The sequence below is a fragment of the Homo sapiens genome, chromosome 6, assembly GCF_000001405.40.
Source record: "Homo sapiens chromosome 6, GRCh38.p14 Primary Assembly".
NCBI classification, from domain to species: domain Eukaryota; kingdom Metazoa; phylum Chordata; class Mammalia; order Primates; family Hominidae; genus Homo; species Homo sapiens.
The window spans coordinates 164,810,227-164,836,567 of NC_000006.12; the positions used below are offsets into that span (position 1 = coordinate 164,810,227).

At 39.7% G+C, this 26,341-nt stretch overlaps 1 long non-coding RNA gene across 1 annotated transcript in view; it reads right to left on the bottom strand.

Moving 5' to 3' along the window:
* MEAT6 (melanoma-associated transcript 6) overlaps nt 1–11,837 on the bottom strand; it is a 28,687-nt gene extending 16,850 nt beyond the window's left edge. Inside the window, exon 1 of the long non-coding RNA NR_131926.1 lies at nt 11,712–11,837. This is a non-coding gene — a long non-coding RNA (melanoma-associated transcript 6). The remainder of the gene's footprint in view (nt 1–11,711) is intronic.
* Between the last annotated feature and the right edge of the window lie 14,504 nt (nt 11,838–26,341).

The window sequence follows — 26,341 nt, forward strand, 5'->3', positions numbered from 1 at the left end:
GGCTGGGGAGAGAAGGCAGGGTGGAATGAGTGGCAACCATGGGCATTTGAGCCACTTCCTCATGTAATTTACTTGTGCCTTCAGGACCTGCTTGAGCCCAGATCACGTATGTACCACTTCCATTTGATGATGGAATGCTGCTATGCATGCCCAATTTTGTGGCTAGATGGGTCAGGAAGCACCCAGTTTATGATAGTCAGTTCAGGTCGCATGATGACTTGATGACCCATAGTCAAGCGTTCAGTTTCTACCAAAGCCCAGTAACAGGCCAAGAGTGGTCTCTCTAAAGGACAGTGGTTATATACAGAAGATGGCAGGGCCTTGCTCCAAAATCCTAGAGGTCTCAACTGTGAGTCACCTATAAGTGCCTGCCAAAGACTCCAAACAGCATCCCTGTCTGCCTGAGGGATGCACCATCAGATTTGCTGGGTCATATGGCCCAAGTGACAGAGCAGCTTGCACAGCAGCCTGGACCTGTTGCAGAGACTTCTCCTGTTCTGGACCCACACAAAACTGACAGCCTTTCAGGTCATTCAACAAATAGTCCAGAGTAACACACCCAAATGAGGAATGTGTTGCCTTCAAAATCCAAATAGGCCCACTAGATGTTGTGCAACTTTCTTAGTTGTAGGAGTTGCCAAATGCAACAACTTATCCTTCACCTTAGAAGGAATATCTCAACAGGCCCCACACCACTGGACCCTTAGAAATTTCACTGAGGTAGAATGTCTCTGAAGTTTAGTTGGATTTATTTCCCATTCCTTGGCATGCAAATTTCTCAGTCCAGTGCAGTGCATTTGCTACATCTAGCTCAATGGGTCAAATTGGCATAATATCATCATTGTAACGGACCAATGTGATGTGTTTTGAAAGTGAAAAGCCATGAAGATCCTTGCAAACAAGATTATGACACAGAGCCAGAGAGTTGATATACCCCTGAGGTAGGACAGTAGAGGTATATTGTGGCCTTGCTTCTGGCAGGCATTATAGACAGGAATGGAGAAAAAGGCATTTGCCAAATCAATGGCTGCATACAAGGTACCAGGAGATATGTAAATTTGTTCAAGCAATAAAACTACATCCAATACAGTAGCTGCAACTGGAGTCACCATTTAGTTAAGCTTGTGATAATCCACTGTCATTTCCCAAGATCCAACTGTCTTCTTCACGGGCAAAATAGGAGAATTGAATGGGGACATGGTGGGAATCACCACTCCTGCGTCTGTCAAGTCCTTGGTGGTGGTACTAATCCTTGCAATCCCTTCAGAGATGTGATTTTATTTGATTTACTATTTTTCTAGGTAGAGTCACTCTAATGGCTTCTATTTTGCCTTTCCCACCATAATAGCCCTCGCCCTACCAGTCAGGGAGTCAACGTGGCGATTCTGCCAGCTGCTAAGTATGTCTATGCCAGTTATGCATTCTGGCCCTGGGGAAATGACCACAGGATGAAACTGGGGACCTACTGGACCCAGTGAATGTTGAACTTGTCCTAAAACTCCATTAATTACCTTACTCAATAAGCCCGTACTCTAACTGAACTGGAGAACCACAATGATGTTTTGGTTCCCCTGGAAACAACGTCAGCTCAGAGCCAGTGTCCAGCAGTCCCTGAAAGCTTTTATCATACCCCTTTCCCCAACGCACAGTTACCCTGGTAAAAGGCCAGAGGTCTCCTTGGGGAAGGATAGGAGAAAGATGAACAATATAAATTGTCGGTATGTGTAGTGGAGTCCTTCCTCAAGGGGACCCAACTTCCACTTCATTCAAGTGTTTCTGGGTCTGTAAACTGGTTCAAGTCTGGAAATTGATTGAGGGGTCGTGATTCTCTATTTTTATAATTTAAATTAGTGTTTTGTCCACTCGACCTGGAAGTTTTCTGCTTATACGAATTAAGTAAGAATGCAGTAGGCTTCCTATCAATTTCACTTCTAGGAACACCATGATTAATTAGCCAATGCTAAAGCTCTGCATGAGTCAGACTATTCTGATTGCTGCTTTATCTATGCTGTTCATTACAGTAACTACACCCACATTGCCCTTGATGATTGAGTGCCACCACTTGGCCCCTGCCAGCTTGGGATCCAATTATTCCCATTGCTTTTAAATTTTCGAATTGAGTAACTGTTGTTTCCACTATAAGATCTGCCATACACAGAAGAGCAATCACAGAGCTCTTCAAAAACTCAGGTGCTCCTATCAAAAATCAATTTCACAAGGTTATGATCATGGATATGTCTTCTGGAACCTCCCAGCTGGGATGAGTAGGTCTAAAGTGACTAATCCACATCACCATCCCAGTCTCCCTAAGCTTTGGATCTCTTCCTCTACATTAAACCAAGGGAGATTAGACATTCCTAGCTCACTCACAGTGGGCCATTTATTTATTCACATTTCAGCTAACCAAGCTAATAAACTATGATAACTTTTTTTTAACTCCCCAACCTGCAACATTAAATTCAGAGTCCATGCTAAGTGGGCCCATATCAATAAATTCAGCCTGATCCAACTTTATGTTCCTTCCATCATTATCCCACACCCTTAATATCCATTCCTATGCCTGTTCTCCAGATTTATGCTTATATACATTAGAAAACTCAAGAAGTTCTTTTGAAGTGTAGCACACCTCCTCATGAGTCACACTCTGAACCTCACCTCTAGGAACCTGCCAGGACTTGAGTCTAGTCTATAAGCAAATAGGTGTGTTGAGGGTGAGTCCTGAGGAGAATCACCTGGCAACTGCCTCAGAGGAGGCCATCACTGTTGCCTCAAGCAGTGCATGGTTTATCTTATCAGACTAAGGTGAAAAGGCTGATGGCAGCATGGGTGGGGAGGGTATGTTTCCACCACTGGGGGTGGGGGCAAAAAAGCTCCTGTTTCCTCTGGCAAAAAGGCCTCATTAGAATTTACAAGCTCAGTGTCTTCAACTTCATTAGGGTCTTCCCACACACCCCCATTTCAAGTTGCAGGGTCCCATTCTTTTCCAACCAATGCCCTGGCGAGACTGAGAAAGCACTTTTCATTGATGGTCAGCCACTCGCATGAAAAGAGCTTGTGTCTGATCTTCCACAATTTCAGTCCTTTGTCTACAGGAAATAAGACTCTCACTCAAGGCAACTGTAGAAGACTGGAGGCTCAGTATGTGCTTCTGGAACTGGGCGTAAGAATCCCTGAGCTCGTCCTTTTCTTTCATAATTTTCTTCAGCAAATTTAGGAGCAACTAATCAATTTCATTATATTCCTTGGTTCTCCACATACGGTTGAAGGTACTATGTATACAGTCACTAAACTTCTTGCCTCTCAAGAGTGGTAAATCAGAGGTTTTAAATGCATTTATTTTGAATAACTCTTTAAACAGTTCATGTCAGGAACTGTCAGTGTTCTCCATACTATTAAAAGTAGAGACCCTAGCATTTTGGGTCTAATTAGATTAAGCAGCCAACTTCAGAAATCCCAAAACCAGCAACAAAAAAATCCACTCTTAAAATTCTGTTCCTCTAGAACCACTCCCAGTGCCAAAATCTGTATTAGTGTCCTCTAGAGGGATAGAACTAATAGGATAGATGTATATGTGAAAGGGAGCTTATGAAAGAGAATTGACTCACAGGATCACAAGGTGAAGTCCCACAATAGGCTGTCAGCAAGCTGAGGAGCAAGGAGGCCAGTCCAAGTCTCAAAACCTCAAAAGTAGGGAAACTGACAGTGCAGCCTTCAGTCTGTGGCCAAAGGCCCAAGAGCCCCTGGCAAACCATTGGTTTAAGTCCAAGAGTCCAAAAGCTGAAGAACTTGGAGTCTGATGTTCAAGGCAGGAAGTATCTAGCACAGGAGATAAATGAAAGCCAGAAATCCCAAGAAGTTGACTTCTCTCACCTTCTTCTGCCTGCTTTATTCTAGTTATGCTGGCAGCTGATTGGATGATGCCCATCTACATTGAGGGTGGGTCTGCCTCTCCCAGTCCACTGACTCAAATGTTAATCTCCTTTGGCAACACCCTCACAGACACACTGAGGAACAATACTTTGCATCCCTCAATCCAATCAAGTTGACAGTTAATATTAACCATCACAGCCCCTTTTAGTCACAGATGGAGCTGGAGCAGCTGGGACGCAGGTCACCATGTCATGAAGGTGCACAGAGCAGTAGGGCCCTTGGCCCAGCCCACAAAACCATTTTTCTCTCCTAGGCCTCCAGGCCCGTGATGGAAGGGGCTGCCACTAAGGACTCTGACATGCCCTGGAGACATTTGACCCATTGTCTTAATTATTAACATCTGACTCCTTGTTATTTATGCAAAGTTCTTTGGGCTTGAATTCCTCCCAGAAAATGTCTTCTTTTTTTCTTTTTTCCACATGGTTAGGCTGCAAATGTTTCCAAACCTTTATGCTCTGTTTCCCTTTTAAAAATGTGTTCCAATTTCAAATCATCTCTGTAAATGATGCATAAACCTGAATGTGTTCAAAATTAGTGCTTTGCTGCTTAGAAATTTCTTCTGGCAGATATCCTAAATCCATGTCTCTCAAATTCAAAGTTCCATAGATCTCTAGGACAGGGACAAAATGCTGCTAGTCTCTTTGCCTAAGCATAGCAAGCATGACCTGTGCTTCAGTTCCCAATAAGTTCCTCATCTCCATCTGAGACCACCTTATCCAGTACTTCATTATCTATGTCACTATCAGCATTTTGGTTGAAAGCATTCAATAAGCCTCTATGAAATTCTGAACTATCCCACATCTTCCTGTCTTCTGAGCCCTCCAAACTGGTCCAACCTCTGCCCATTACCCAGTTCCAAAGTTTCTTTCATAATTTCAGGTCATTTTTATAGCAGTACCCCACTCCCAGTACCAATTATCTATATTAGTTCATTCTCACACTGTTATGAAGATACTGCCTGAGCCTGGGTAATTTATAAACAAAAGAGTTTTAATTGACTCACTGTTCCGTATGGGTTGGAGAGCCTCAGGAAACTTACAATCATGGTGGAAGGTAAAGGGGAAGCAAGGCAAGTCTTACCTAGTGGCGGGAGAAAAAAAGGGCAATGTGGGGACTGCCAAACACTTGTAAAACCATCAGATCTCATGAGAATTCACTCACTATCATGAGAACAATATGGACAACTCCACTTCCATGACCTAATCACCTCCCACTTTGACACATGATGATTACAGTTTGAGATGAGATTTGGGTGGGGACACAGAGCCAAACCATACCAGCAATTATCTTACTGTGATTGAATAAATGTAAATTAACTTTGAAAGAATTTCAGAAAATAGGGACTTATTAAAAATGTCTTAGCAATCCTGCAAAAACACTAACCAGAACTTCTGCAAATGAAAAACGCTAAAAATGAAGTAAAATCTTATATATATTTTTTAAAACAGACACAACCGGAAAAGAAATTATTGGATAGAAAAATACAACAAAATAATTTATTTTGTCCTCTTTGTAGCATAGAGGGCAAAGAGTCTGAAATGGAAAATAATAAAAAACAATGGAGATAAAATTAGAAAGTCAGACATAGTCTATTTCCCCAGTAAGAGACTAAAGATAGAAAAGGTGGTGGATGCAGTATTTGAAGAGAAAAAGACTAAGGAATTTTCGAATTGATAAAACAGACTGATTCACATTATCAAAAATACTAATCAAATCAGTAGGGTATTTGTATGGAAGAGGAACATTATGGTTCTTAATAATTATTCTACTTCTTCTGGTATTTTCCCATTCTTCTTAAAGTAATATGACCATGTGAATTGCTTTAGTCAATGAAATACGAGCATAGATACTGAGTGTGTCTCCAGGCAGAAACACAAGTGAGTGCTTCACCATGTGTCCCTTCTCTTTGCTGTGTGATAGTGGAAGGATGCATGTAAACAGAGACTGCTTCACCACAGATCTCAAAATAGGTGCATCACATGTGCAGAATGAGCAGCAAATCTACATTTGTTGGTGTAAAACAAGGACATTTTGGGGTGTTTGTAAAACATGATAAGCTAGTTGACTGCTACTGAAACATGAAATTAGAGAAATCAATCAGTGAAACACATGTGGATGTCAGTATGTCACACAGGCATTAGCATAATTCAATCAAAAATCAATAGATTCTTTAATGAATGGTATTGCCACAGTTGGCTGTCTGTCCAGAAGACACATACAGGGATTCTACATTCACACATATCTTAAACCATATTCTAAAGCACATTTTAGATAAATTAAAGGTGCTGAATGTTAAAAAAGTAAATGCCAACAGAAAAGTTAATGCTTACAGAAAACCTAGGGGACTAAAAATAAGGGTCGGAGCGATTCTCTTTTTAACCAAGGCTTGAAGCCCAGGCATTTTTAAAAGGAAAATTGGCATATTGAATTACAGAAAAATTTAAACTTTTATATAGCAAAAGTTACTGTGAAAAATGCCAGTAGAAAAACATGTGAGCTGGAAAAATTTATTATGAAGATGATAATGTGTTACTAGTTATAATATAAAATGACAACTACAGATTTACAAGAAGGAAACAAATAATGCAAGAGCAACTGAAACATAATGATCAATAGAAGTGCAAATTGAAAGGCCATGAAACATATGAAAAGATCAAATTCACTAGTATTCAGACAAATGTAAATAAATATACAATAATATATAACTTCGTATCAGTCAGTCTGAAAATATATAAGCTACAAAAACTATTTCCAATAGGGTATGTGTGGTAAAGAATACTTTCAAACATTTCTGATGAAAGTGAGAAACGATACTACTTTTGTTTAGAAAATAATCTGACAACATCTATCAAATTATAAAGAATAATATATATACACATATATTTTAACAATAAAACTTCACTCTTCAATTTAACCTATAGAAATTAAAGTACTAGAACATAAAGAGGTTTCTTGCAAAATTATTTGAATTAGAAAAAGAATAAACAAAATGAATATGTATACAAATATAATCTATATACATATATATATATGAAGTACTATATATATAGTACATAAGTGAAGAGAGAAAGAGAGACTAATTCATTGGGAATAGCATGCCAGGAGGGATTTCCATGAAAAAAATTAATGAGAGAATGATGATGCAAAAATCTATAAGCCTCACCACCATGGGCTAAGATGCAATGGGGCCTCAAATAAACTTGAAAGGCAGTCTAGACCACAAGGACTGCAACACCTAAAGCAAGTCCTAGGGCTGAACTGGGCTGAGACAATGGACCGGGAGAGTACATGACCTACTGAGATACCAACTGGGGTGGCTAAGAGAGTGCTGGCATCTCTCCTCCCCTAACCCCAGGCTGCACAATTCACAGCTCCAAAACAGACCCTTCTTTCCTTCTTGAGGAGAGGATGTCAAAGAGTGGGTATGAGTTTGTCTTGCATCTCGGGTACCAGCTGAGCCACAGCATGATAAAGCACCAGTCAGAATTGTGAGGCCCCTGTTCTAGGCCCTAGCTCCCAAATATTTGTAGACATACCCTGGGCCAGAAGAGAACCAAAGGAAGGAATTCACTGTCTTGAAGGAAAGAACTCCCCTCAGGAAGGATCCATCACCTGCTAACTGAGGAGTCCTTGGGCCATGAATAACCAGCAGTGACACCCAAGTATTATGTTGAGGGCCTTAGGTGAGATGCTGAAACTTGCTGACCTCAGGTGAAACTGAGGACATTCCCAACTAAGGTGGTTATAGAGTAAGACTCCTTCTACTTAAGAAAAGCAGAGGAAAAAGTAAAGGGGACTTTGTCTTGTACCTTAAGTACCATCTTGGCCACAGCGGGGTAGGGCAGCAAACAGGCTTTTAAGGTCCCCAGTTCCAGAACTTGGCTCTTGGATGGCATTTCTGGACACACTCTGTCTTAGAGAGGAGCCAGGGTGAGCCCCAGGCCAGGCAGCATTCAACACGAGCTAACTGAGGAACCTATGGGCCTAAAGGGAATGTCAACGGTGGTTTGGCTATACTTCTTTTTTTTTTTTTTTGAGATGCAGTCTCGCTCTGTCACCCAGGCTGGAGTGCAGTGGCACGATCTCGGCTCACTGCAACCTCTGCTTCCCAGGTTCAAGAGATTCTCCTGCCTCAGCCTCCCGAGTAGCTGGGATTACAGGTGCCCGCCACCATGCCTGGCTAATTTTTTTGCATTTTTAGTAGAGACGGGGTTTCACCGTGTTAGCCAGGATTGTCTCGATCTCCTCACCTCGTGATCCACCCGCCTCGACCTCCCAAAGTGCTGGGATTACAGGCTGAGCCACCACGTCCGGCCGTTTGGCTGTACTACTAATGGGCCTGAGGTGGTGGTCGCCATGGGCTGAGGCTCTTCTGCCTTTGGCAAGGGGAGGAACGAGTGGGAAGGATTGTGCCTTGTGGTTTGACTGCCAGCTCAGCTGCAGTACAGCAGAACACCAGATAGACTTCAAAGGTATTTGGCTCTAGCTCCTGGCTCCTGGTTGGCACCTCTGTATGCCCCTAGGGCCTGGGGTAACTTTCTGTCCCAAAGGGAAGGACATAGGCCTGACTAGAATTGTCATCTGCTGATTTTAGAGTGCCAGGGTTTTGAGCAACCATAGGCAGTAGTTAGGGAGTCATTAGAGCAGGCTTTGGGCAAGACCCAGTGCTGTGCTGGTTTCAGGTCTGACTCAACTCAGTCTTAGGGGTGATGGCCACACAGGTGCTTATGTCACTCCACCCCTAGGTCCAGGTAGCTCAGAATAAAGAGAGACTCTGCTTGCTTGGGAGAAAGTAAGGGAGGAGAACAAAAGTCTGTCTGGTAATCCAGAAAATTATTTTGGATCTTGTCCAAGACCATCAAGGAAGTACCTCTACAAGTCTGCTGGAACCACAGCACTTCTGGATTTGGGTTTCCCCCTAAAGCAGATACAGCTTAGATCACAATAGCCAAGTCCTTTAGAATTTCTGGAAAGTTTTCCCAAGAAGGGCAAGTAAGCCCAGACTGCAAAGACTAAAAGAAATCCCTACTTCTTCAATGCCCAGACACTGAAGAATATCTACTAGCATCAACACCATCCAGGGAAACATAACCACACCACATAAACTAAATAAGTCACCAGGTACCAATCCTGGGGAAACAGAGATATGTTTCCTTTCAGACAGATAATTCAAAACAGCTGTGTTGAGGAAACTCAATGAAGTTCAAGATAACACAGAGAAGGAATACAGAATTCTATCAGATACATTTAACAAAGAGATTGCAATAATTTAAAATACAGGAGAAATTATGGAGTTGAAAAATACAACTGAAGAATGCATCAGAGTCTTTTAATCACAGAATTAATCAAGCAGAAGAAAGAATTAGTGAGCTTGAAGACAGGCTATTTGAAAATACACAGTCAGAGGAGACTGAAGAAAAAAGAATAAAAAACAATAAAGCATGCCTACAGGATACAGAGAGTAGCCTTAAAAGGGCAAATCTAAGAGGTATTGGCCCTAAAGAAGAGATAAAGAGATAAGGGTAGAAAGTTTATTCAAAGGGATAGTAACAGAGAACTTCCCAAACCTAGAGAATAATATTAATATCCAAGTACAAGAAGGTTATAGAACACCAAGCAGATTTAACCTCAAGGTATTTAATAATCAAACTCCCATAGATCAAGGAGAAAGAAAGGTTCCTAAATGCAGCAAAAGAAATGAAACAAATAAAATACAATGGAGCTCCAACGCATCTGGCAGCAGCAGAATTTTCAGTGGAAACCTTACAGTCCAGGAGAGAGTGGCATGACATAATTAAAGTGCTGAAGGAAAAAAACCACACACACTTTACTCTAGGATAGTATATCTGGTGAAATTATCCTTTAACATGAAGGAGAAATAAATACTTTCCCTGATAAAGAAAAGCTAAGGGCTTTCATACCTCAAGAAATGCTAAAAGGAGTGCTTCAATCAGAAAGAAAAGGATATTAATGAGCAATAAGTAATCACCTGAAGGTATAAAACTCACTGCTAATAGTAAACAGAAAAGCACAGAACATTATAACACTGTAACTGTAGTGTGTAAACTACTCTTATCCTAAGTAGAAAGACTAAACCATGAACCAATCAAAAATAATAACTACAACGCTTTTCAAGACATAGACAGTACAGTAAGATATAGTGACAAAAAATGTTAAAAAGAAGAGTAACGAAGTTAAAGTGATGAGTCTTTACTAGTTTTCTTTTTGCTTGTTAGTTTGTTTAGGCAAACAGTGCTAAGTTATTATCAGCTTAAAATAATGGGTTATAAGACAGTATTTGCAAGCCTCACGGGTAACCTCAAAACAAAAAACATGCAATGGATACACAAAAAATAAAAAGCAAGAAATTAAATCACATCACCAGAGAAAAATCACCTTCACTAATGGAGGACAGGAAGGAAAGGAAAGGAAGCGAAGACCACAGAGCAACCAAAAACAAATAACAAAATGGAAGGAGCATGTCCTTATTTATGAATAATAACACTGAATGTAAATAGACTAACATCTCCAATCAAAAGACATAGAGTGGCTGAATGAATTTTAAAAAAAGAGAGAGAGAGAGAGACCCACTGATCTGTTGCCTATAAGAAACACTCCACCTATAAAGACACACATAGACTGAAAATAAAGAGATGGAAAAAGATATTCCATGCCAATGGAAACCAAAAAAAGACCAGGAGTTTTACTAACATCAGACAAAGTAGATTTCAAGACATTTATTAATATAAGAAGAGACAAAGAAGGTCCTATACAATGATAAAGGGGTCAATTCAGCTGGAGAATACAATAATTGTAAATATATGCACCCATCACTGGAGCACCCAGATATATAAAGCAAATATTATTAGAGCTAAAGAGAGAGATAGATCCCAATACAATAATAGTTGCACATTTCAACACCCTGCTTTTAGCACTGCACCGATCTTCTAGACTGAAAATCAACAAAGAAACATCAGACTTAATCTGTACTGTAAACCACATGAGTCTAATAGATATTTACAGAACATTTCACTCAATGGCTGCAGAATACACATACTTTTTCTCAGCACATGGTTCTTTCTCAAGAATAGATCATATGTTAGGTCACAAAACAAGTCTTAAAATATTTTTAAAAATTGAAATAATATCAAGCATCTTCTTTAATGACAATGGAATAAAACTAGAAATTAATACCAAGAAGAATTTTGAAAAGTACACAATTACATGGAAATTACATAATATGCTCCTAAATCACCATTGGATCAATGAATAAATTAAGAAGGACATTGAAAAGATTTTTGAAACAAATAATAATGGAAACATAGACCAAAACCTATGGGATACAATAAAAACAATATAAGGGGAAAGTTCAAAGCTATAAGTGCCTACATCAAAAACGAAGGAAAACTCTAAATAAACAGCCTCACAATACATCTTCAAGAACTGGAAAAGCAAAAGCAAAAGCAAACCAAACCCAAAATTAGTAGAAAAATGAAATCATAAAGAACAAAGCAGAAATAAATGAAATAAGGAAAATAATACAAAAGATCAATGAAACAAAAAGTTGGTTTTTTTGAAAAGTTAAACAAAATTGACAAGCCTTTAGCTAGACTAAGATAAAAAGAGAGAAGATTCAAATACATAACATCAGAGATGAAAAAGAAGACATTGCAACTGATACTGCAGATATTCAAAAGATAGTGGCTACTGTGAGCAACTATATGCTAGTATATTGGAAAATCTAGAACAAATGGATAAATTCCTAGACACATACGACTTACCGAGATTGAACCAGGAAGAAATCCAAAGCCTGAACAGACTAACAAGTGAAGAAATTGAAGCTGAAATAAAAATGTTCCCAGTAAAGAAAAGCCTGGGACCCAATGGCTTGACTGCTGAATTCTACTAAACAGTTAAAGAAATAATAGCAATACTACTCAAACTGTTTCAAAAAATGGAGGGGGAAAGAATACTTCCAAACTCATTCTATGAGGCTAGTAGGCATATGAAAACATGCACAATATCATTGATCATCACACAAATGCAAATCAAAACTACAGTGAAATATCATCTCACCGCAGTTAAAATGGCTTGTATCCAAAAGACAGGCAATAACAAATGCTGATGAGGCTGTGAAGAAAAGGGAACCCTCATACACTGTTGGTGGAATGTAAATTAGTAAAACAACTATGGATAACAGTTTGGAGGTTCCCCAAAAATCTAAAAAGAGATCTACCGTATGATCTAACAATCCCACTGCTGGGTATATACCCAAAAGAAAGGAATTCAATATATTGAAGAGATAACTGCCACTACTATGTTTGTTACAGCTCTGTTCACAATAGCCAAGATTTGAAACCAACCTAAGTGTCCATCAACAGATGAATGGATAAAGAAAAGGTGGTCTGTATACACAATGAAGTACTATTCAGCCATGAAAAAAAAAGATTCAGTCATTTGCAACAACATTGATGGAACTGGAGGACTGGTGGTCTTTATGTTAAGTGAAATAAGCCAGGCACAGAAAAACAAACATTGATTGTTCACATTTATTTGTGGGATTTAACCATTAAAACAATTAAACCCACAGAGATGGAGAGTAGAAGGATGGTTACGAGAGGCTGGGAAGAGTAGTAGTGGGGGGTGAGAGGGAGTTGAGGCTATGTAAAGTGTACGAAAAAATAGAATGAGCTGGGCGCGGTGGCTCACGCCTGTAATCCCAGCACTTTGGGAGGCCAAGGCAGGTGGATCACCTGAGGTCAGGAGTTCGAGACCAGCCTGGCCAACATAGTGAAACCCTGTCTCTACTAAAAATACAAAAATTATCTGGGCATAGTGGCGCACTCCTGCAATCCCAGCTACTAGGGAAGCTGAGGCGAGAGAATTGCTTGAACCGGGGAGGTAGAGGTTTCAGTGAGCCGAAATTGCGCCACCGCTCTCCAGCCTGAATGACAGAGCGAGACTCCATCTCAAAAAAAAAAAAAAAAAAAAAAGAATGAATGAATGAATAATGCTTAGTATTTGACAGCACAAAGGGTGACTAGAGTTAATAATAATTTAATTGCACATTTTTAAAATAACTAAAAGAGTGTAATTGGATTGTTTGTAACACAAATGATAAATGCTGGAAGGGATGGATACTCCACCTTCCATGATGTGATGGTTACACATTGCATGCCTCTATCAAAACTTCTCCTGTACCCCATACATACATATACCTACTATGTACCCACAAAAATTAAAAAATAAAAATGGGTTCATGCTATATATACTGTTTCATAATCTGGTTTATTCTATTGCATTCATCTGTGTTATTTTTATTAAAGCACTTATAGGAAATTATCTTGCACTCACTAGTAGGTAAGCTCTGTGAGAATAGAGAATTTTAACTGTCTTGCTCACTACTTTATCCTCAGTAGCTAGAAGAGTTCCACACACAAAGCAGAGGTTGAGTAAATATAAATTCTGAAAGAACAGTTATTTTTCATTTAATTTGCTCTATGTAACTTAGTGGTTAGAAGGTATATCACTATGAAGAAATACAAATTTATTCAACCACTGATCCAGTGTTTTATGTTTGATTTTGTTTCCAAAGTTTTCACTACTGACACAATGCTCTACATTCTTGTAGCTAATCTTGGTACCTATCCCTTAATATGCCCTTGATTTAAATTTCTAGATATGAGATTAATGGGTCAAAGGGTATGCATATTTTAAGTATTTTTATTTACTTTTCCATATTGAGATCTACAACCCTTTTTTCTCTTCTATCAGCTTTGCATGAGGACTATCTTGAATCTTTGCCAACACTGTGTATTACTGTTTACCAATGCCAGTTTGAAAGATGAAAAATGGCTTCTAATTTTTTATATTTGCATTGCTTAGGTTATTAACAATTTTGGACTTTATCGTGGTAATTTATGAATTGCTCTTTATATATTTGTTCAGTTTTAATGCAGTCATTGTCTTTTGCTCACTGATTTCATGAAGATTTTCAAATTATAAAAGCATTAATCATTTTCCTCTCATGTCATAAATATTCTCCCCAGTTTTTAATTTCCCTTTTACTCAAACTGATAATTTTCTAATGATCTTCAAACTTAGTTTATCAATTTCTAGCATCTCAGAAGCTCATGTGAAGAAATCTCAAGTTTAAAATAGTTTTCCTTTTACTGCCGATTTTTTGTTGTGTTTCTTGTATGTTCTTTTGAATTAACTTCTTTAAAGAAATACAATTAATTTCTGTGGATTTATACAAAATATTTGGAAAAAATCACAATACATAATTTTGAATATAACATAGATGTCAATGGAATAGTGAGGTTAGATAGCACTGCAGTTTCGCTCATACATGAGCAGTGTTGATAGATCACATTACGCCAACTCAGAAGCAGTCATCTTTACCTACTATGTGCACTTTATCCCTGATCATGCCGGTTTCTGACAACTGCTAATTAAAGTGCTAACGACATCAGAGATATGCACACAAATCTATGGGTGAAACTGAGGTAGAAGGCAGGACTCGGCACAGGAGGTAGGTCTTGACTCCAGAGGTGGGGCTCAGACATCAAACCAAATTGAGGACTAGCTAAAACAGGGACACAGCAAAAGCAGCTTTCCACAAGACACTCCCATTCGTGTGCCATGTCAGTTTACCATGGCCATGGCAACATCCAGATTTTACCACCTCTTTTCATGGCAATGACTTGATGACCAGAAGTTGCTACCCTTTTCTATAGATTTCTGCATAATCTGCCCTTTAATTTGCATGTGATTAAAAGTGGATGTAAATATGACTGCAGAACTGCCTTCGAGCTGCTGCTCTGGGCACACTACCTGTGGGGTAGCCCCACTTCACAAGGAGCAGGACCTCTCCTGCATCAAAACCAAGCTGAAGAGGACAGCACATTTACATGGACAGCAAGATTTCAAGAAGATTTTCATAGACTGTATCACAAAACAATAATAGGATGCTTTTCTGACTCATCTCCAGTGAAACTGCATGTTAATAGGCACCTACTGTGTCCATATTCCAAAATTAGGTATGATATTCACCAGGTTGGACTTCCAAAGGGGTCCCAGAAACCTGTTTTGTACATTCTTAGTCCTCACTACGTTAAAGATACATGAGGGTAGGAATAAGTGATCAGAAGGATCATTTACTTAAAGAAAACGTCCCCTCTGTTTCCTCTGCAGTGCCCCTCAGCAAGGAGTGCCTCCTGTAAACATTTATGAACAGAGGTTGCCAGGACCCCTTTGCAGAGGTCAATATTGCATTCCCTGGAATCTTATCTATCTGACAGTGTCATGAGGTAGTGGATGTGAGAGAGAACTTGGATTTTCCCTGGATCTTCTCTGGGTAAAATATTTGGAATGGAAAGATGACCTCAACTGACGCATGGACCACAAAAGACTAAGGCACACATGGCTGGGTCAAGAATGCTGAAGGCAAAAGCTCCTCAGCTGTGGGCTGCAGGGTTCCTGCAAGACTCACAAATGAGCAAAGAGAATGAGTCAGTAGATTACGTGTCAAACCTAGACAGAGGCACCTTCAGGTGACAATCATGTCCAGGAAGGTTTTAGGACAGGATCCGTTTCCAGCCCATTCTCTACTTTTTTCTGTTCTACACCCGTAACTTTACAGGAATCAGAAAACAAAGTTCTTAAATAGGGTGGGGAATATTAGACCACAAAATCCCTTCCCTAACAACAGGATCCCTGTCTTCTAGCAAGCTTAAACCAATAGAGTTCATCTCCAATGAATTTTAGATGTTTTCTTTCTTCACCTGAATTAAACATTCTAATGATGGAACTGAGGCTATTCATGGACAGATAGAAATGACTGGAAAATTGTCTATCACTAAAGAGTGAACTGAAAATGTTTGCCTCTGTGCTCCACTTCGTTCACACGCAGGAGAAAAACTTGTCCCACGGAGTGGGTTTGAAAGCTCAGCGGGAACAGAAAAAGAGTAATTGTTTTCTGATCTACTGCAGATCCTTTTTTTTTTTCCAACATGATGGATATAATTATAACCACAGACTCAAATCAGTGAGAGTATATTCAGAAGAAAAGATTTTAAGGATGGCTACCACATCAGACACCCCATTCGGTAAAAATTGCAAGGAACTGAATTGTGGTTCATGAGTGTGTTGATTTAGGGATAATCATTGAACTGTTTAGTTATGATTTGTGTGCTTTTCTGTTTATAATGCAATCCAAAAAACTTTAAAAAATTACCTGGTTTGACAAGTCTATTTGAAAATGACTTTATATCGGCCGAGCGCGGTGGCTCACGCCTGTAATCCCAGCACTTTGGGAGGCCGAGGTGGGCGGATCACTAGGTCAGGAGATCGAGACCATCCTGGCTAACATGGTGAAACCCCGTCTCAACTAAAAATACAAAAAATTAGCTGGGCATGGTGGCAGGCGCCTGTAGTCCCAGCTACTTGGGAGGCTGAGGCAGGAGAATGGTGTGAGGAGTAGGTTTCAGTGAGCCGAGATCGCGCCACTGCACTGCAGTCTGGGCGACAGAGTGAGACTGTCTCAAAAAAAAAAAAAAGTAGTGTGCCTGGTGAAAGTTAAAACAGCTCTAAGTTCGCTGTGTTTGTGAGTGACACTCAGATACAAGGGCAGCTAAGAGCCCCTCACAGTTATCACATTCCTCGTGCTTAGAAATGTCCCAAAGTCTCACAATAGATATGCACATTGAAAAGGGGCTTCTATCACTGTAAGTTACTCGGATGTGCTCTGGTCAAGGAATAGGCCGAGGTGAATATCCGGGCCCACATGACTCAGAGAGTTTGGCAGGGAGGAGCACACCTCCACTTGTTATATAACCTCTTTGTGTAAGTTTGTGCTTGGCTTGGAGCCACTATTGTCTGTAGAAGGTATAATTGCCCTGCTGATGCTGTGCACAGGGCTTGGCTCAGTTCAGTGTGGCTTGACGTGGCAGGCACACTGGCACCCAGAGAAAGAGAGAGAACCAGAGCTGTCTGTCTTGCAGATGGACAGAGGGGAGCCAGGGCATGGGTCAGCATGACACAGCACAGCACGGCTTGCACTCATGCCCAGAGAGAGAAAGAGTTAAGCTGCTGACCCTGAAGGCAGAGGAGAGCTGGCCGCGCAGCCGTGTGTAGGAGCCGCTGTCTCAAGGAGCCAAGACAGGGTACACAGTGTAAAGAGCTAGTGTGAGAAAGCTGTTGATGAGAGCTGACGCTGAATAAAACCATATTCACCTGCAGACGACCTCCCTCTCCCTTCCCCAGTGTTCTTTCTGCCCATCCACCCACTCCCTTCAGACCACAGCATGGGCTGGACCTGGACCCCGGGATCTAACAATCAGCAAAAAAAAAAAAAGTTAAAAAAACAAACTTAAAAATTTCCAGTTAGGAACCTTGCAAGCATCTTTCCCAAATCATACCTGCTTCATCAGCACTTAAACGCCAAGAAAATCTGCAGCAATCAAAGTTAAAGCACCTTTTCTCTCATCTGGGCTGCTTCTCTTTCTGTTTCTCTTGCCCCTCCTCTGGGCAAATCAAGCTTCACTAAGTGAAGCGGGAGTCCCGCCTTCTAGCAAACAGTCTGTAGCTATAGCCAAGGAGAAATATAGCCCCAGGGATATAGATGGGAAATGAAATCACCTGGCCCCTGACTCAGTCCATCTCCCAGGCTAACTGGGAGCTACTGGATACAGGCATCAGGAAGGTGATGTGAAAGATGCCGCAGGTGAAAGAGAAGAAGAACGCGGAGCACCTGAGCAGCTGTGGAGCCTCGGATTCGTTGGAAGGCACATTCTTGGAAGAATAGGTGGGCTTCAACTGAATGTCGTCCTAACAGAATCAGGGCTCACCTTGGTGTACATTGTGAGTTTTTAGAGAAGCCTGGATTTTAAAGCAGTCTGGATTTTTTTTATTTGTATAAACTTATTGGGTACAAGTGCAATTTTGTTCCATGCGTAGATTGTGTAATGTGTAAATCAGGGTGTTTGGTGTAATAACTAACTATTAAAGTAATTTCTCATCATCCAACCCCTCTCACTCTCTCACTTTTCTGAGTCTCCATTGTCTATGATTCAACTCTCTGTGTCCATGTGTACACATTTTTTAGCTCCAATTTAGGAGTGAGAACATGCAATATTTGTCTTTCTGTATTTGACTTGTTTCACTTCAGATAATGGCCTCCAGTTCCATCCATGTTGCTGCAACAGACAGGATTTCATTTATTTTTATGGTGAATAGTTTTTATTGTGTATATGTAACATTTATATTTTATATTTATATTTCCTTTTTTTTTTTTTTTTTTTGAATGAGGTCTTGCTCTGTAACCCAGGCTGGAGTGTGGTGGAGTGATCACAGCTCATTGCAGCCTCAACTTCCCAGGCTCAAACAATCTTCCCATCTCAGCCCACCAAGCAGCTTGGACCACGGGCACACACCACCATGCCCAGCTAATTTTTTTTTTTTAGAGAAAGGTTTCCCTGCATTGACCAGGCTGCTCCCAAACTCCTGGGCTCAAGCAATCCTCCTGCCTTGGCTTCCCAAAGTGCAGGGATAACAGGCGTGAGCCACTGCCTCCAGTCACCATTTATATTTCTTGACGTTTAAATGTTGTCACCTAATTTAAAAAATGATTTGGTCCAGTGTATGTGGGCCACACTGTCATCTGTAGGTCAAATGTAGCCATGAGTGCCCAAGTTTTCATCTCACAATGCTGAAACTTGATTCAGTTGACATAGAAAAGCCTGAATTCAGCATACAAAAGATATTTGTGCCAAAATAGAATGTAAGAAATTATAAAATGTAGGGGTAGCACAGATCCCAGATGAGTCCTCCCCTACTTGTCTACCAAATGATGTCTTAAGCCAGCAGTTCTCAAAGTAAAGGCTATGGGCCCTTGAGAGTCCCAGAGACCCTTTTATGGTGTATTTATTTCTATTTCTAAATTTTCGATTCATGTCAAACAAGTTACTGCAAACTTTTTGGCTTAACACAGCACACATTTATGGTCTAACAGTGTCCATGGGTCAGGAGTCCAGGTAAAATGTGAACAGTCCCTGTCCTGGGTCTCCCAAGGCCACCATCAATGTGTTGGCAGGTCTGCCTACTGGATATTCCAGGGGAAAGCCATGTGTAGCCTCATTCATGTTGTTTGCAGAATTGGCTTCACACAGTCATAGGACTACAGTCCTGTTCCCATGCTGGGTGTTGATCCAGGGTTGTTTTCCACTTCTAGTTAGTTCTAGCATCTTCTAGTTGCTGCCTGCCTTCCTTGGCTATGACCTCCTCCATCTCCAAAGCCAGCAACAGTGGGTGAAGTTCTCATGTTTCAAACTTTCTGAGATCTGCTCTCCTCTCCCGTCCACAGCTCCTGTAATGAGATTGGGCACATCCAGGCCATCTTCTATTTTACTGTCCGCATAACACAATCCAGGAAGTGAAATCTCAGCATGTTCACAGATCCTAAGGACTCAACTATGGAACCATGGGGGCTGCCCATAGAAACTCCACCTATGCACAAGGGTGATGTGCATCAAGACTAATTTTATAGTAATGATAAGTCATCACCTTTTTATTAACACTATGTTGCCACTTGCCCTTGGAAGCAGTCGCAGTGAATTTGCCCATCCCTTAGAAGCAAGAATCAAGTTGGTAACACCAAACGAAACTCAATGAATTCTCCATGGCCACAACCCATGATTCAAGAAAATGCTAAATGTCTTTGATAAAGAGTCAAAATGTATCAATTTATTAAATCTCAATCCTTGCATCCCATCTTGTAATACTGAAAAATGAAATGAGAAGTATGCCTAAAGCATTTGTCGCAAGGTAAAGCACTTACAGAACAGTTTGAGAGGCAAATTGAACTGCCTGCTTTTTCATGAATACTTAACCGAATGACCCAGTCGCTTATTGCAGGTATTAATATTTGACTATTTAACTGGCATTTTGTTTAATTCGTATGAAAGTTCTTATCAAAGGAAAACAACTGATAGTATTTACTGCCAATGATAAAAATTGAGCCTTCAAGTTTAATTTAGTATTTTGGAAAAGAACTATCAATCCACCTCAGCTTAAATACTTCTTAATATTTCAGAGATTTGATAAGACCTGTGGTGATATTTAACAAATGTGATTTTAAAAAAATATTCTACAATAAAATATACCATGTTTTAAAGATCTGTAGACCTAACTAAACCAGTATTTTCCAAATGATCAAAATCATGCATAGGTAAAGATCCATTGAAATTTACAAGATAGACCAAAATAAGAACAATAAATGAGAAGCTTGTTGAAATTGCTATATATTTTACATTGCAATTCAACTTTGAGAAACTATGATTTGCTGAGTTTTGGTGTAATATTAAAGAAGAATAGTCACAATTTTCTAGGCAAGCTACATATACTTCTCCCTCTTTCAGATACATATCTGTGTGAGACCAAATTTTCCTTATAAATTTCTACTAAAACTACATATTTCAATGGAAGAAATGCAGAAGCAGATGAGAATCCATCTGTCTTCTATTATGACAGATATTAATAGATTTCAAATGGAAAACAATGCCACTTCTCTAACTGCTACTTTCTTTTAATAAAAATAGTCATTTTTCATAAAATAACCTGATGTCAACAATTATTATTGCTATTTTAAAATATATTAATAAATATATATTTTACATTTATGTTTGAATTTCAAATACAGTATTTATTAAGAAGTATAATCTTCAAAAACAGAAATTGCTTGGTGTTCTAAGTAACTTTTAAAACCAGAAAGTGTCCTGAGACTAAAATATTTCAAAAGTGGTACCTGAAACCCATTAGACCTCTCACACTAACTTAATAACCAATAAGCTACTCTCTCTTCCAGGAATTCTTCTCAACAAATTCCTCTCAACTTCTTGCAAATAGCCAACTCTTTGTGGATAGTCAAGACTCATCTTTTACATTTTATTCTGCAGAAAGCCTCCTGTGATGGTTAATATTGAGTGTTAACTTGATTCGGCTGAAAGTATGCAAAGTATTGTTCCTGGGTATGTCTGTGAGGGTGCTGTCAAAAGAGATTAACATTTGAGTCAGTGGACTGAGAGAGGCAGACCCACCATTAATCTGGGTGGGCACCATCCCCTTGGCTGCCAGCATGGTTAGAAAAAGCAGACAGAAGAAAGTGGAATGAGCAGACTTGCTGAGTCTTCTGGCCTTCATCTTTCTCCTGTGCTGGATGCTTCCTGACCTGGAACATCAGACTCCAAGTTCTTCAGCTTCTGGACTCTCGGACTTACACCAGTGATTTGCCAGGGCATCTTGGGCTCTTGGGCCTTCAGCCACAGACAGAAGGCTGCACTGCCAGCTTCCCTACTTTTGAGGTTTTGGGACTCAGACTGGCTTCCTTGCTCCTCAGCTTGCAGATGGCCTATTGTGGAATTTCACCTTATGATCGCATGAGTCAATTCTCCTTAATAAATTCCCCTTCATATATACATCTATCCTATTAGTTCTGTCCCTCTAGAGAACCCCGACTAATACGCCTCACATTCTTCTTTCCCCAAACAGCAAAAGGCATTTCTCTTCTGTGTTTTTTTTAGCATATTATTTATAAGTTAAATCATAGTACTTACCATAATGTGCTTTAATTATTGCGTGTTTGAAGGTCTACTCCACAGGACTGAAAAGTATCTGGTGGTCTGGCCTGATTTGCTTCAGGTACAGGAATTAGAACTTTTCTATGTCTATACCATCAATGTCTAGCACTGTCCTCTCACTCCATGTGGCATGTACTTAAAATATGGCATAAAAGGATAAATCTGATTTTTGTAGAATTTCCTAATAGTGTGAAAATGCTGGTGTGTATGTTATCATACTGAAGATATGTTTCTTTCATGACAGCTCTCATTCTCAGAGGACTGTGATGGTATCATGATATATTTCTAATGCTATCTGTGGTAGTAAAGATGTGTCAAAGAGGCCCACTGTTTGAATTCTTGCACCCAATGAATTGTTACCAATTTTCTGTAGTTTTGTGTGAAAAGCACTCTTACTTTGTTATTATTTCCATGATGCTACTCATCAATCTAATGCTACAGGCCCAGTTTAGTAGTGAAATGCTTAAGGTCCCATCTCTTTGGACTTTGTTTATCTTTATCTGCAGTTCATTTTCCTTATTTTAATTGTTTACCTTGCCATAGATCATCAGAAGCTAAGATACTGGAAAAGTGACTTTAAGTCCTTAATCAACAAATTATTTGTTATCAAATCTGTTGCAGCGACATTAAGTGTCCACTGCATTGACAACCTCCCAGAAGCTGCCATCTCGACGAATTTGTCCTTCACTGAGTACTTTCACAAATGTCACTCCTGACAGCGTGCACAGCAGCTATTTCAGTAGAACAGACACATATTGTTTGGAGCACAGTGGTAGCCTCGGCTTTGAGTTCTGTCGTTATTTAGGGTTCTGCCTCTTGGATGGCTGCCTTTCTGGACGAAAATGAATCATTCCTTCTCACAGTGCTGCCTGGCACACTGATGCATGCCTGCTGCTGCAGCTCTGTCTGAAGACATGGTTCCATAGGTCACATGCCATTTTTTTAAACTCATGCTCCTGAGGTGACCCCCACCTTCATCTGATGACACACAGGAGTAGCTCAAATGTCATGTTGTCAATCATCTTGTGGACATGACTGTGTCAGGATGCCCAGCCTCATTGCTTCAGGATCTTCCCACTATTGATCTTCTCTTGCCACTTGCTGTTAAGCTTCATGCGTGAGGGACTCTGGGAAAATTTCTTAAGAAACTAAAGGTCACATCAAGACAGATTCAAGTCTTGAAGGAAAAAATGGTTAGTTTTCTCAAGACTGTTGGATGTAGGAGTTTCCTTAATGTTTGTTTTCCACTTCTTAGTTTTTTTCTTACTTGTCTGAATGAAAAAGTAAGAGAGCATAATTTTGTAGCTGCTTTAAAACCATAGTATCAGAGAACTTCAGTTTTGAAAAAGGTATGTCATTGACTTCAACCTCCCATTCCCACATGAGAAAACACAGAGAGACAACGAGAGAGAAAGGAAGTGTACCATGGAAAAAATTAACATAATAGCTGCAACGTTCTCCATGAATTAGTTTGATTTGTCATTTGCAATCTTAATGAAAAATTTACAATTTTTACATGATTGTCCAAAAAATGCAATTATGCTGTGTATCAGAATTTATGTAGTGAATGATCTGAGTTTTATGGGATATTTATAGTGTTTCTTCCAGATTCCTTTGTATTTACTTTTGGATATTTAGAACCTATATTCAGATCTTCTGGGTTACATGTGATTTTCCTTCTCCCATTCAGTCTGTGCTGAATGTGTGATTGTGTGTGTGTGTGATGTGGCATAGGGTTGAGAATCTGACGTACACTTGCATTCTCTTCTGTAATAGGTAGCTTACTTGTTTTAACCAGTCTCTGCATTTTCATCTGTAAAATGGAGCTATTAATATCATCATTCCCCTCCCAGAAGCCTAACACTGCCTTTAAAAAATACAAATTCTGGGCCGGGCGAGGTGGCTCACACCTGTAATCCCAGCACTTTGGGAGGCCGGGGCGGGTGGATCATGAGGTCAGGAGATCTAGACCATCCTGGCTAACACAGTGAAACCCCGTCTCTACTAAAAATACAAAAAATTAGCCGGCCGTGGTGGCGGGCGTCTGTAGTCCCAGATATTCAGGAGGCTGAGGCAGGGGAATGGCCGTGAACCTGGGCGGCGGAGCTTGCAATAAGCGGAGATCCTGCCACTGCACTCCAGCCTGGGTGACAGAGAGAGACTCTGCCTAAAAAAAAAAAAAAAAAAAAAAAAAAAAAATATATATATATATATATATATATATATATATATACACACACACACACACACACACACACACAAATTCTATAAAATTTGGATTAAATTGTATATATGTATATATAGCCATCTATAATATTTATAACAAATTTAAGAAATTAATACTAGCTCCAAATCTATGCCCCTGCACTTACCACTTGGCTCCAAAGGCACCTATACAATGTGATGTAAATGCTGGGACTTCGTAATATGTTTTAATGTTGTTTCTAGAAAAGTCTATTTTGCTATTAATAGGCTCCAATGTAACCCCTAAATGTACTCAACTGTTTATATGAAAATAAGTAGTGAGGCAGAAAATTGCCTTTTTATAACTCTAGGAATGATGATTCTGCAAGTCTGTAAACCACTGGGAATATTATAAACAAGAAAATCCAAGAGATAGTTTTAGTACATTTGGATATATGCAAATCTAAAGAATAGCAATTTTAATTTCCTAATAAAATTCTCAAACTATAGAATTTATTCTTCTCCAAAAAAAATGCAAAAATCATGTTTTTAAGAACCACATATAAATATTAGTTAATAATTAAAATTTCAGAAATTACCATGTTAAGCCATCTGAAACACTTCTTATTATTACCTATCATCAAAAAAGCTCATTAGTGCCCACAGTATGTTACCATCAAAAATACAATTTAAATAACTTTGCTACATGAATATTTAAACAAAAACTTCTTCAACTCTAAGTTGTTGGTGGGAAAATAGCTCACATGGCTTGGTTATGACTTATTCCTTAAAAACTATGGACTTCAAACTTTTCTTCTGTGACAAGCTCCGATACAGCAAGAGGGGAGTACACACCCCACTCCTGTCTTTGAACATTTTAGCCTCTCTTTTCTAATTTTCTCTTGAACAAGAAAAATGAGAGGAAATGACTCATGTAGCTTTGAAAGATGAGAGAACAAACAAACATACAAAACAACACATAATAGATGTGAATTCTAGAAGTGGTAGAAATGGGTTATGATCAGCCTCGTTCTGATTGTTTTAGTCCTCATAGCTCTTTAAACACAGGAAAATGCTTGAATTTAGGTATTTGATTCTGGACCGTGGAGCGACTTTAGTTTTAGCCAGAGCTGATGTGAACAAAAGAAAGAATGGAGGAAAAGTAACAACAGTGAGTTGTCCAAGGGAAACAAGAGAGAGAGAAAGGCAGGGCATTTCTGAGTCCAGGGACAAAGCAAGGGCCCCTTTTCCATATGCCATGTTGTCCTGGAGCCTTGAAATGGGGGTCCACAGTTGTGAGTCATTTGTGTTAGTCATTGTGACTATGCGTCGGGAGAAAGAGGACAGTTTGCTTACAGGGCCACCCCAGGGGCACCAGTTCTTGCTGGGATCTTCAGGTTTGACTGCACCCAGGTTTAAGTGGCATTTGTATATAAGAATAGTGAAGTGTTCAAGATGTGTTTGAAATCAAAATCCAAGTGGAACAATATTGTTAGCTTTACCTGCTCTTGCTCTCTCTCTCTCTATATATATAGTCTGTACCTGGCACCTGGTATATATATATATCCCATCTCACTGATTGTTTACTTGTACTTCAAGATCCTTCAGATCAAATGTCACCTGATTCACTCACTCACCCTCTCATTCACTCACTCTACCATTCACTCATTTACTCTGCCTGCAAATGAGTAACCTGAAGTAGTTGTGTCAGTCTGTACAGGCTTACAGGCTGCTATAAAAGGATACTACAGACTAGGAATTTTATAAAGAGAAAACATTTATTGCTCACAGATCTGAATGTTGGAAGTCCAACATCAAGGCACCAGCAGATATTGTGTTTGATGAGGGCTTATTTCTCGTAGACAGTGCCTTCTTGTTGCATCTTTACTTGGTACCAATATCTTCCTTCTTTTTTTATTTTATTTTTTTAACTGCAGGAAGCCCTTTACCTTTATGACCTAATCACCTTCCAAAGTCCTTACCTCTTAATGCTATCACCTTTGGGGCTAGGTATCAACACATGAATGTGGGGGAAGGGGACACAAACATTCACACCATAGCAAGTTGCTAGTGTAAAAGTTGTTGGACTCACGAAGTCACTTGTGTTAAAACCCTGACGAATGGAGCCGGGAAAGGCCATGATGGAGGGTTCTCATTCATGTATGCCTGATAATAAGAACTCTGCAAAAGCCTCTGCAAAAACCACAAGCTTGCACAAAGGTCACTGCAACCTTACACAAAATAATATGTCTGCGAGGACATCTGCCCAGCAACCTCCTGTCCAACCTCAGACTGGTGCTCCCCTTGGTACCGATTCTTGCACCCAAGGATAATTATCCAAAAACAATTATGTAATCCTCCTCATGTCTCCTTTCTAAACCCTCACCTTCCTTTGCTTCCCTCAATATACCCATTGTATTCCCATTGCAATGCTTACTCTGGAATACAATACATACCGTTTTCTTTTCAGGAAACTATTTCTCTCTCCATTGTTCAGGGTTTTCATGAGGAATTCAAATGGGAGAATATACAGCCCTTTCTTTAAGGACATAAAAAACAACTAGGGAAGACAGGCAAGTAAATAATTAAAA